The sequence below is a fragment of the Homo sapiens genome, chromosome 3 (genome assembly GCF_000001405.40).
Source record: "Homo sapiens chromosome 3, GRCh38.p14 Primary Assembly".
In the NCBI taxonomy this organism is placed as follows: domain Eukaryota; kingdom Metazoa; phylum Chordata; class Mammalia; order Primates; family Hominidae; genus Homo; species Homo sapiens.
The window spans coordinates 64,560,570-64,573,552 of NC_000003.12; the positions used below are offsets into that span (position 1 = coordinate 64,560,570).

Below are 12,983 nucleotides of genomic sequence, written 5' to 3' on the forward strand. Positions count from 1 at the left end.
AATGACACAGATTCTGTGAACCTCAGTTTTTTCACCTGCAAAATGGGATGATGATAATAATAATAATGCTCACCTTGTCTGGTGGTTAAAAAGATTAAGGGAAGCAATGAACAAAAAGTACCCAGCACAGTGCCAGGGGTACAGTCTAACTGTTCTCCAAACCATACCCTTTCTTTATGTTCTGAAAAACTCTTCATGGTGGGGAATTTCCTGCCTTATTTTTCATTATCTCTGCACCTCAAGCAGCATGCATTTTGTTTTTTATGCCAACATCAGTGGATATTGTTTTGCTTTCTAATTCTTTCCCCCCCTTTTCTACAGTTTAATCTTCTGTTCTGGAAACAGAGGTTACCTCCTATAAAACCTCCCTGGCCAAACTTTTCCCCATGGACACAATGTTTTCCTTAACCAAACATTAACTTGAAGCCAGGGAAAAAGCAAGGCCTGTCCACTTCTGCACGGACCATCAACGGAGCAGTTTCTTCAGATACCATCCTTTTTTTTTTTTTTTAAATGTTAGAAATCTTTCACTAATTAATCAAGGTTTCACATGAATGCCTATCTTCTACCTGACAGCCAAAGTCATAGAAAGAGGAAAAATACAGAGTAGGTTCTACCTAAAGTCTGCCCTGCGGCTATTTAAACAGATACAGAATGACCAAATCTGGAGACACGTATTTAAAATATTCCTTCTATCTCCCCCTCCTTCTGTGAAAGATATCTGAATGCATTCGGCCCACAGCCTGTTAAAGTTTTTTTTTTTTTTTTTGAGGCGGCCAGACTTGGAACACTCAGGAATACAGACAGACGTAGGAATTGCTTAAAAACAAGAAGTTCTCCCACCCTTGTTGGAGCGAATGCGCGAGTCTGACAGTGAACCTTTTGGGAAAGAGCCAGCATTGTAACCGTGCTCGGTGACTTCTCTGGCTTTATAGGGAACAGATGTGAGGATAGCAAGGGGCGCACACGTGAAATGCCTGGCAGGTACCCCTTTGTGGCTCTACTTACTTCTTGCCATTCCTCTGCCCTCCAAGTGTAGAGGGGACACCGTGGGCCTTGGCAGTCGCGTTCCGACTCCGGTCTGGTGTATGGGTTGCACTCGGTCTCTCTGGCTATTTTGTGTGTTCCGATCTGACAGCCCACATGCCTCTGCTGTACGCCTCGGCCACAGGACACAGAGCACTAAGAAGACAGAGAACGTAAGTGGGAGCTTCGGCTCATTTATTTTTTGGGGGGGCGGGGGGTGTCGAGGGTCACAGAGGAGGGGAATGCACTCCTAATCCAATGACTTTCATAGCTATCACATCGCTTTCTAATTTGCAATGAAAGGGATCCTAGATCATGTCTTAAACCTGGAAACTCACTGCTTATCTTATCCACGCTGGAGAGTGAGGAAGGTGCTCAAGTTTGGAGGAATCCCTCAAGTTAATGTAATTCTTAGAGGATTGAAGAGGTTAATAAAAATCATTATGAATCATTTAGCACAACCTGGAAATAGTGCTGCCATGAGAAATGAAAACTTGAAATGATTTCTATCCTGGAGGATTTGAGACTCATGAAAACTGGAGAGACAGTGTTGTACAAGAAGAATTTCTTGGCAGATTAAAAATATAACCCAAGGAGAAGTAAACCACTGAAGATTTTAGGACTTTATAAGTAGAATTATTTTCTCCAGTCTCTTCCTTTTCTTGCTCCTATTCATGGAGATAAGGCGATATTTTTTTAACCACAGAATTCACTAAAGAATTTGTGTCTATTTACAACCTCAGATGAATATATGAAGAATAAAAGCTGACAGGAAAAACCATTTCCTCGGGCTTAATGTTTTCAGCCCTTGAAAAATATTGTTAATCATGTTGAAACATTTTGCTGACCAACTTGCAAAACACCATATTAAATCTGCAATTAACTTTCCTCTAAATTAATTTTTTAATGGTTTCCTCATTGCTGGGTTTCATAATCTCACTTATGGCCAGGCCAAGAATTATTGTCTTGATTAAGGTTTTGACAGCCAGAAACTAAAGGCAACATTTGGAAAGAATGGTATATTATTACACTTAGCTATTAAAAATTATTTCCAAATTTTTGTGATAGCTCAGCCTCCATTTTTTGGTCTGGTGTTGAGAAAATAAGCTTAACATACATTAAAGCCATATTCCTAAGAGGAAGTCTTCTTAAATAATAGAATCATGACCTTTCAAACTTGAAAAAATTATTTTCCAATTAACCTGTAGCAACATTCAACTTTCTTTGAGACTATTAATGGAAATTTACTATCAAGAATCACACCCAAATGTATTCTGCTGAATGGTAATTTTCTCTCCATTTCAGATTTTAAGAAAACAGGTAACGATATTTAGAAGGTAACTTGAGAAATCATACTGTTTCAGATAAATCTATGCCAGAGAGGAGAACCATATGTTCACATCAAAGCTAGCTGAACAGAAGAAAATATTTTGGATCAACATAGCTACTATTGTTTGGGCTCAATTGTATTAATTGGATTGAATGAGTTTGTGACCCACAAGAAACCAGACTTTTAAAGTCATTATGTCCTGGGTGTAATGGGAGGATTCCTGAACACAAGTGATGACCCTATCTATAGAGAATGGCCATTTAATGCTCATTAGAGCTACATGAATAATATTTCCCATTGATTACACTGGAAAAGAATGTACTGTAACATGATAGAGTTACCCCATAAATGATGGACATGTTCAAATATTATCATCATCAATAAACAACAACCAAAAAGTCTTTTGACTATTTCAATTTGGGGTCTTAAATATAAAAGAGCACGTTTCTGGAACAATATATCCAAATACAAATACAGAAAGAATATTGTAAACAAATTTGAGTTTGGTATAGGACTCAACTATATGCAGAATCTCATAATGTTTTAATAACCTAAAGAAAAATGAAAACATATTTAAAGACTTTTAGAATGTATAAGACTATTCAGGCTACTAAATAAATGAAACCTCTTTTTGAAGCTATTGTAATTGAAAAAATTACTTATGGTTCAACGAAGGCACGGTACTAAGAGCCATAAGTATCCAACATTTAAAAAATCACTTCCTACAATGTTTGATAATTTTTCAAAAGACAAATTAAGACACAGGAAAGTTCAATTATACGATATGTCATTCTGGCTTCTGATTTTCATGATGCAAAGCCAGCTTTGAAATACCACATTCAAAAGTTTCTACATGACTTAAGTGCTCACAGCAAGGTACAAGCCTGCCTTTCTGAATAATGCATTCACAGTAATCTTTGCTCAAAATGAGGTCCACTCCATCGGAGTTAGTTTTCTGTGTTCAACTTTTCTTCCTGTGCTATCTCAAGGGAGGCAACAGTTTGCATAGAGAGCCAGCCAGGCTTGCTTGGAATTCTGAGAGATTTGTGCAGGCACCCCATGAATAAAACAGCAGCAGAAAGACCTCTGTGTGACCCCGGAGGCAGTGATGGTGGTGGTATGTGTATGTGTGTGTAAATCCAAGTTTTCTTGTTCTGTTCAGTACACCTTTTAGTTCGTTTGCAGATGAAAACATCTGAATGGCCTCTATTAATGTGCTCCCCCCACAGCCATCATCCCACCACCACAGTCTATTCGTGCAGGTTTCAAAGTAGACGTTTTTCACTCTGAACTCCTGAGCTGGGAGCTATGTTTCATCTCTCTCTACTCCCCACTGTGCAATGCTAGTATGCAGAACTCACCAACTTAAAAGGGGAACTTGATGCTTATTTCCATAGAGAGAAAGAATCTCCATTGAACTTTTGATGTTTAGGGAATCATAATATATACTTGAAAACCTAGAAATAGTTTTATATACTTTCTTCCAGGATTACTGCTGAAATTATGGTGATGACATTAAAGCAGCGATTAGTTTGAAAAACAACTATATAAACCAACTTTTATAAGTAACAATAATAGCAATAATAACACAAACTTTTACTAAACACTTACTATATGCTAGGGTTTCTATACTAGCATACAGTATATGCTAGTATACTGAGGTTTCTCAATTAAATAATTCTTTTTTGTGTGTGGGGGGGGCGTTGTCGTGTGCATTGTAGAAAGTTTAGCAGCATACCTGGTTTGTAACTACCAGATGCTAGTTCCCCCTTATTCCCCCCCAACTTGTGACAAAACTGTCTCTAGACATTCCCAAATGTCCCATGGGGTACAAAATCACCCCCATTTGAAAGCTTAGCTCTAGGCTAAGCATTTTACATAAAATACCTCTGATACTTCCCAATAAACCTTTTAGGCAGATACTTCATAAATAAATAAAACAAAAAAACAGAGATAATCACCCGAACTCAAGCAAAAACAAAACCAAAAACACAAAGTAAAATTTGTCTTAGACAAGGTAGCATAGCTACTGCGAATGTGCGTTTGCGATCCCAGTTTTTAAATTGGTGCTAATATGATGCAGTCTTTTGTAGCAGGTCAGTGAGGGTGTGGGTGAGAGGCCTGTCTTCAAACAATTCAATACCAATGCTCATGCTTCAAATACAAACAAAATAAATGGAAAGCACAAAATACTAAAGCAACTCTAGTTCTCCTCACTGACCATGTGCATATGGCTTCCTTAATTTCTCAAAGAACACAAGCCACACATTTGCCACATTTCTCCATTAAACACTTGAAGGACACTTCAGAATGACATCACAATACAGCTGCTCTAATTATAATTATAAGAAAAGTCTTAATCAAGAATGGATGGTAGATTCCATTTCAGCATTAGCACTGGAGATCTTTTAAAAATTGATGCTTATTTCATTGAATGTAAGACAACACTGATTGCAAAACACACCATTATATTTTGTAGCACTAAGAAAGACAACAAGGGCTGTTAAGGAAATCATGACATTGCATAGTTTGTGAAGCCCATCCTGACCACAAAGGTGTTGAACTGTGAAGAAGATCTGCATCTCAGAACTGATGAATGACTTGATTGCATGAATTCATGATTGATTAATGCATTGGTGTGTTACCTTCATTCTAATCTGATAATTTATTCTTTTTATTTTTGATCTTTATTTTAAAAACTCTATAGCGATAGGATAAGTTAAAAAAGTTTTACTGTGAAACGCTTTTTGTATCATGGGAATATTGAGTCTTCACATTTGTCAGTCTGAATCAAGAACTTGATGCTAATTTTTGTCGTAAAAGTTCATAGGCATTCCTTAGCTCTTGATTAAAAATATCTAAACAAATGAAATGTAATCTTTTTGGAGAGAGAAAAACCCTTTAAGGCTTCAGTAAGAATAATTCCACCCCTCCTTCAAGAAAAGCTGATTTTCTTTACAAATTCAAGATTTCAGAAGACACAGAAGTGAAATATTCCACTTTAAATCTCAAAACATCAATACTAGCAGAGAAACTGTAAAGATTAGCATGGCTATTGTAGTTTCTATCCGAATATCCTATATATCATATTATCATCAGACCTTTCGATGTGATGAGAAATTAAACCAATTATTTTTCCTACCTTGAAGACAGGATGACTAGGCTGTAACTACCAGCAGAAAACAGAAAGACCAGATATAAAATCTTCTAAATATTGCTGCAAGTGGACAATCATTACTCTTGCTTACTATCACAGTCTTAGGGATATTCTTGTTTACCACTGGATCATTAGGAAGCCAATAATCTTTAATCATGCAGACCGTCTTTCTCCATTAACCACTGGGTCTGATTATTTTCAGGTACACTTCTAAATTGCCCAAATTGAATTTTACCCATGCAGTACTTTGTCTTGCCTGCTTTTCTTATTTATTTCTACAAATCAAATCAGGACATTATAAGGCTGGCCACAGACCATTATATAACTGTGTTTACTTGCATTTTCTACAAAGGTGACTTGACTTTTCCGAGCAATCATTTTGAACAGGTGCAGTTTATTCTGGGGAGGCATTCTGATAATCCTATTACCTTATGTTGGCAAAAACCCCCAGGGTTTAAACCTAATCATTTCAGCTTTGTAAGCAATTTTAGGCTTCCCATCAAGATCACATGATGCTGGATTAAAACTCACTCTGTGTTTACCAATAAAGAGCAAAAGATTCTTTTAATTATCCTTTGTGAATATTGGCTTTTAACATGAGCATCATTTATATGCTCTGAACTTAATTAATATTCAGAGGTAAATAAAACAGATAAGTAGAGGCCAAGGAACATTAAAAAAAAAAGTAACAGATCATGAAAGTCCACAAGAGACAAGCTAATTAGCGTGGTATCTTAAATAATGCTAGCTGCAAGCTTTTACATGAATCGAATAGCTCCAAAAAAAAAAAGGGATGGAAGTTAACAGATGACAAGGATCACTTAGAAAAACATTAAGAAGGATGACTGGTATGAAATATTGCCTTGAATATGCTCCCCGAAGGAAGGCAAAGGAGGAACCAGCTCTGGCTGGGTATAGATTTTTTTTTTATTGTTAAATTAAAACAAACAAAACCCCCATGTTTCATTATGATAAAGGCCTTGAGAGGCATGAGGCCACTGCCCTGAGGAATGATGACTGGAGGATATGGAGGGCAGTGATGCCAGATCAGGGCATTGAAAATACATTCAGGTTTCTGAAGGAATTTTCCATTAGTCATATTGAAATGGAGGATTCTCGAATCCTCCCCACATTAATGTACGCTATGACCAAAGCTGCTTTGGGGCCTTAAGAATCAAGATTCTAGGCTCTGGAAGAATCCATGCTAGAGCCCGCCAACCTTGAACCTAGATTCCCATCGATTATCTGGAGTCATCTGAATGATTCTCCACTGCATGGAAGCACCGGAAATACAGTAAAACTTCATTGATTCAGATCAGTGGAGAGAAGGAGCAGCATTAAATACAGAATGTTTTAAAAGAAATTGAGCCTTATTACTTTTAAGTTAGCACCTTCAACCAAACTAAGAAAATGTGCAAGTGTGGAGTTACCAGATCTACTCTAAGGATTTGATATGAACGGCTTTAGTTCACATATCCAGTGTTTAGAGATTAAACAGAAGCTTCTAAGGTTCCTGTTTCAAGTTCAATAGGGAAACTCACACCCAGTTCCTGACTAGCTTATGAAATGTTTAGAATTAGTGGAGTCTAACTGTAATCAGTGTCTTGGGTACTCACACCCTTCTCCATCCCATACACACATCACACTTGTCCAAACAAAATATAACTCTTGAGAGCCTACTAGATTGAAGACCCCTGCAAAGCGCTGGGCATTCATGATTGCATTAAATCGTCATAAGAGCCATGTGTAGTAGGCTCAGGAAAATTAAATTACCCAAGGTCATATAGCTAGAAAATAACAGAGAACTCTCTCTTCTGTCCTTCACCTTTTGTAAGCAAGCAAATGGGCAGAGGTATTTTCTAGAACTTTCGTCAACAGCCCTTTCTTCAAGAACCTCCAAGATAAACTGAGACTCAATTTCTGCCAGGTGACCACAGTCAGCTTCAGTGCAGTCTGAGTTAGTAGTTTTCTATGTGGTGATAATGCAATGCCATCAGTGAAGTATTGAGGGGCTGACCTGTGCTCCATCTGATCCCTATTTCCACTTAGAATTCACCCTCACAGCCACCCCTAATTATAGGTATTATCCAAAGCTCCAGAGGCTGGAGCCCAATGTCACACAGCTAGTAAGTATCCTGACTATCTAGGTAATGATTCTCCCCTCCCAGTCCCCGAGCTCCCCTCGGTAAAACCAAAACCGTGCATAGAAACACAAGTGAACACACTGGGGTCAGCCACGTGGCCAAACGTAAGGAAGCAGTCAGTAGAGGAGAAGCATTGCTCACCTGACTCCAAGCGCCAGCTTTCCATTTGGGGCATCTTCCTCCTCGGCACTTTCTGTGCCCATGTGGCTTAGCCAGGTGCTTACAGTAATCACTTTCTAAATGGCTTCCATCTTTTGCCATGCAGTAAACATTTCGTTGTTTATGCCCTCGACCACAAGAGACAGAACACTGCAATATAAAGCAATGGCAAGGTTGTTGTTGTTTTTTAATTACACGGAGTTTGAGAAAAAACCTGCGTCTTGAGATGTTAAGACAATGCCTAACAAGAGTTACCATTCCCCTCTTTTACAGCGCCAGTTTGGATAATATCTCAAGGCTTAATAGGGAAGGAAGGTGGCATTGAAAAAAAAAATGTCCACAGCATTACAGCAGCAATCCTGTGTGGCATTTTTGGCTCACTCAAGAGTGTGGGTAAATCCTGAGAATTGGAGCCAAAAATAAAGCTCATGAACCTGAAATTACCATGAAATTCTGATTTTAAGAAGTCCTACTATGAAATAGTGATATATTTCTTCAACAAAATGCCTGTGATTCACTGACTGGGATAAAGGTGCATTTCCAAAATACAACTATGTTCAATTTCTTAATTAAATGATTTAAGAATAAAACTCTTGAACCATTTTCCAGAGGATAAGCTCTCGTTTTCCCAGTCCACTGGGAAGAGGTGAAAAAGGCACGTTAGAAACTGAAAGGTAAGCTAGCAGGTAAGTCTGTGCCAATTTTGGGAGGGAGGCATTACCTTTCAACTTTGATCTGCAGATTCACTGGACTGTTTTAAATGTGACCTTGTCTGACCACATCTGAGAAACTTGACTTTGATTTCAGATTAGGTTTCTCAGAAAGGTTTAGGAATCAAAGTGCCCATGGAGTCGGGACAAAAATTTGATATGACAGCTTCTTGTAAAACAGGCAAGAGGCTGGCCCCAGTGAGTGTGCTGAGATATGCAATGTCCATTGCCTCATTAGTGATTACAGAAGTCATTACCACTCAGATCATAAGCTGCTGGCTCGGGTTTTCAAGACACATTATTTCCCAATATAATGGTCTTGCTTTTTAGAGGGAAATGAATTTAAGAATGAAGAACAAAATGTGAAAACGCAATGAAAACAGATTTCAAGTGTCATTTCCTTCTATTCAATATTTATTTCCCCCACTAACTTTGTGATTTTGTTAAATTACCAACATGCCCTTTTATGCCTAATAAATAGCACCATGTGAAACATGTAACTCATGAAACATATTAACTCAACCACTATTACCAAGCATGCTCAGTTATCCATTCATAAATGTACCAGACATGTTTTTCTAGTAAACACAAACCACTATAAAAAGTTCAATAGTTGCTCATAGAGAAATGTGAAGTACGTATATTAATACATTTGGCTTTAATTTTTTTAACTTTAGGAGGTGAAAATATTGCTGTTTTCATTTGAGCTCTAATCTTATGAATATTATGATTTGGAGTAGTCATTCTGAAAATCTTAATGGAGTATACAGGATGGAAGGAAGCCATCCAACTTGAAATATCTATACCAAAACAAAAATATTCATCATTCAACCTGTAGTGTTTGATCTATATAAAGACTTTGCGATATAATTCTAGAAGGCTTTTAGAATGAAGTTCCTAGAAGTATCTCCACAAATCTCTAGAAGTATGCTGATGACTTGCACACAGATAATCCCTATTAATAGTGACCAATTTTAATATTTTAAAACATTTCTCTGAAAAGAAAATAATATAAGGGTTCAATTAGATTTGGAATGAATTCATTTATTTATTCGACAAACATTTATAGAGCACCTACAATGTTCCAGAAATTATGCAAAGTACTAGAAATGTAGCGATAAACAAAATTGACAAGTCTCTGTCTTCATGGAGCTTACAGACCAGTGAGGGAAGCTGACATTAATTAAGTGATGACAAAAATAAATATATGATTATTCATTGAGGTAAGTACTAGGAAACAAACAGGCTGGAATGGTTGGAAGAGGGCTCACTGAGGTACTTCCTGGGGTCAGGCAGCAAAGCTATGAGCTACAATTATGAGTTTGGATTTTATTCTGCACAAGATGAAAAATCACTGAAGAGTTTCAAGTCAGAGTAAGACATGGTCTGATTTTTGTTTCAAAACATTTACTTTGCCTGAGTAGAGCCCAAGTGGGAAAACAGTGTGAGTGGAAATGAGAAAGTCACTCAGGAATGCTTAGGTAGGGGAAGTTGGGAGGCTGAGGCAGGAGAATGGTGTGAACCCGGGAGGCAGAGCTTGCAGTGAGCCAAGACAGCGCCACTGTACTCCAGCCTGGGCGAAAGAGCAAGACTCCGTCTCAAAAAAAAAAAAAAAAAAAAAAAAAAAGATGTATTTTTTTGAAGTAGAAATGATGGATCTACTCTAGGGTGGAGAGGAAAGGGCAGTATCAGGGATAACTTTCAGGTTTCTGGTTTGGGCAATTGGGTAGATAGTGATAACACTTACAGAGATGGGGAAAACTGGGAGATACAGCATTGGGAGTCAAAGATATATTTATTTCTAGGAAATGAGTTGAACTTAAAGGATATAGAATCATGGGTGGTAAAATTTGCTTGACTAGGGTGAAGAAACATAGTTGTGTCAGAGTAATCAAATGAACATGGGTGACCTTAACACAAGTCTATATGTAGGGACAGTCACTTCAATATACAAATAGTCCAAACAAGCTGTCTCTTAATATATAAGGGAAAAGAGAGTTGTTAGAAATATTAATTTAGTAATCTACTGTGGTCATCAGAAGTTACAGCCTAAAAGTTGGCAACAACCTGTAGAGGAAGAATTGGAAAAGGTACAACTCTCTCACATTTATGAGCCAGGCACTGCCCTAAGACTTTATATGCATCATCTAATTTAATCATCCCAATAACCCAGTGAAACTCAGTAATAGAGATAGGTACTATTAGTGGAGACAATTGGTGTTTTCAGAATGGCATAACCACAATGCTTTATATAGTGCTTCCCACATGACTTCAACACAAATGAATACATTTCTGTTGGAAACAATAACAGCACAGTGAAAAATAGTTAAATTATCACCAACCTCACTGATAAAAATTCATCTGAGGTATAACTGACATCTATTGCTAATGGAATGAAGATGAATGAAGTAGCTTCTAAATACAATGCCTTATCTTTTCACTATCTGGACTAGCTGTAACCTACCCATTCCAGGGTTTTGTTTTTGTTTTTAAATTTGGGGACTTGACTGGAATTGACTTGGAAAAAACAATGCAGCACTTGCCATACTTATTATCTGCCTAATATTGTTAAGATCTAAAGGCAATTAGGAAATTCTCAAGGTATCTAATCTGATAGCAAATACTCTTCTTTTAATGCTTTCTAACTTACCAATGAAGAAAAGCAGCTGCTCGTGGAAATGTTCAAATCTAACAGGTTTATTAATGGGCCTACTATGACCTGATAGAGGGGCTATCATTTTGATAATCAAATAAACACAAGTTTCAGCTCTTACATTCTGAGGGAAATTTCCATCAGATCATTTCCAGTCCTTTCTCAGGCACTGACTTTTACATCACCATGTGTCACTGAGACATAATCGTCAAATTTAGTGTGTCACCTAGTACGTGCTATTTATTGGTTACACATCTGATAGTTCTTGCTCTAGGGAATATTTAATTCCTCAAATTCACAGCCAAAAAGCCTCCTACTTTGCCAATAGGACTCTGACTTTTTTTTCTTGGGAAACAACCCAACTTTGTGTAACAGAATGATCTTCCTCCCAACTTTGAGCAAGACTCCCAGACAATGTAATCTCTGTTTGTTACTTAGCAGCACCAAGGTCAGCATCCCAAGTGCCTGGGTATTCAGGCTTTTGTTTCTGTTGGGTGGCTTGAAGGGGATGTTGAAATGTGGTGTTTTGTTCAGAGATTGTGTTAACACTTTTCACTAATTAAGGTCTAAGAGCTTGAAATCCTTGCATTTCAATTCATCTGGTGGAAAGGAAACTCAAGACATGGGCCGTCTGTTCTTAACCTCTATCGAGGGCTCTCTCTCAAGAAGTAGCACTGGATATGGTGCAGACGAATATGGGTTTGGTGTGCTGTCTCTGGTTTTAGGGATGCCCCACATTGGTCCTTTCACTTATACAGAGGAACGTGGTTTCTTAGTTATTGAGAAGCCAGAAAACAGCCCTGGTGTGTCTGCCTGAATGAGAAGGGCTGGAGAACTAAAGAGAATGGGATCCCTGGGGTTGCTGAGGCTGCCAAGGACCTGGACATCCAAAACAAGATGGATTTCTACACAGAGTTGCTAAAGATACCATAAAGAACCAAGAAGGAATAAGAAGGGGAAGGTAGAGGTCAGAGATGTACACAGGATCTGGCCAGAAAGAGGCTTCTGGGTGGGGCTGGAAGATGCAGGGGCTTAGAAAAAGCAGGGGCGGCCGGGTGCGGTGGCTCACGCCTGTAATCCCAGGACTTTGGGAGGCCGAGGCAGGCGGATCACAAGGTCAAGAGATCAGGACCATTCTAGCCAACATGGTGAAACCCCATCTCTACTAAAAATACAAAAATTAGCTGGGCATGGTGGCATGCACCTGTAGTTCCAGCTACTCAGGAGGCTGAGGAAGGAGAATCGCTTGAACCTGGGAGGTGGAGGTTGCAGTGAGTCAAGATCCTCCACTGCACTCCAGCCTGGCGACGGAGTGAGTGAGACTCCATCTTAAAAAAAAAAAAAAAAAAAATGGAAAAAGAAAAAAAGAAAAGGCAGGGGCTTAGAAAAAGCACTAGAAGGGGACTGAATGAGGACCAGGACTGCCTGAGTTATAGCAGATGCCTGCTATGCAAGGACTAATGCATGGGCCAGGGGGACAGCCCTAGCACAGTGTCTGGGCACAGTTCTATGTATCTAGGTGATTCCCATTCCCAAGTGGTCTGGATTGATGAGATTCTGTATACATGAAATATGAAATGGGGGTGCTGACCAACTAGTCCATATTTCCAACCACAGGACTGGCTGATAGCAGGTGAGAAATAACAAGCACTGAAAGGCCAAGATAAATGTCATATACGAGAACCTATTACCAAGTTGTCAAGGCTCTTCTGATCTAAGGATTTTTGACAACAGATGGCTAACCATTACTCAGATAGGTGTTTTGAGACAGGAGACTGAAGGAATTACTATTCAAGGCCTTTCC

General features: G+C 38.5%; 1 protein-coding gene and 1 long non-coding RNA gene across 7 annotated transcripts in view; one reads left to right on the top strand and one right to left on the bottom strand.

Annotated features, from left to right (window-relative positions):
* The window catches only part of ADAMTS9 (ADAM metallopeptidase with thrombospondin type 1 motif 9), a 172,347-nt gene that overhangs the window by 44,916 nt on the left and 114,448 nt on the right, over positions 1-12,983 (bottom strand). For all 5 annotated transcript variants that reach the window (XR_007095711.1, XR_245151.1, XR_007095712.1 and 2 more), the window contains 2 exons: positions 7,799-7,966; positions 1,009-1,182 (listed from right to left, as the gene is read on the bottom strand). Coding sequence is in view for 2 of the 5 variants with exons in the window: in NM_001318781.2 (NP_001305710.1) it covers positions 1,009-1,182; positions 7,799-7,966 (342 nt within the window). In the remaining 3 variants the exon portion in view is untranslated. The remainder of the gene's footprint in view (positions 1-1,008; positions 1,183-7,798; positions 7,967-12,983) is intronic.
* ADAMTS9-AS1 (ADAMTS9 antisense RNA 1) overlaps positions 777-12,983 on the top strand; it is a 28,739-nt gene continuing 16,532 nt past the window's right edge. For both annotated transcript variants that reach the window (NR_110150.1, NR_110151.1), the window contains exon 1: positions 777-1,199. This is a non-coding gene — a long non-coding RNA (ADAMTS9 antisense RNA 1). The remainder of the gene's footprint in view (positions 1,200-12,983) is intronic.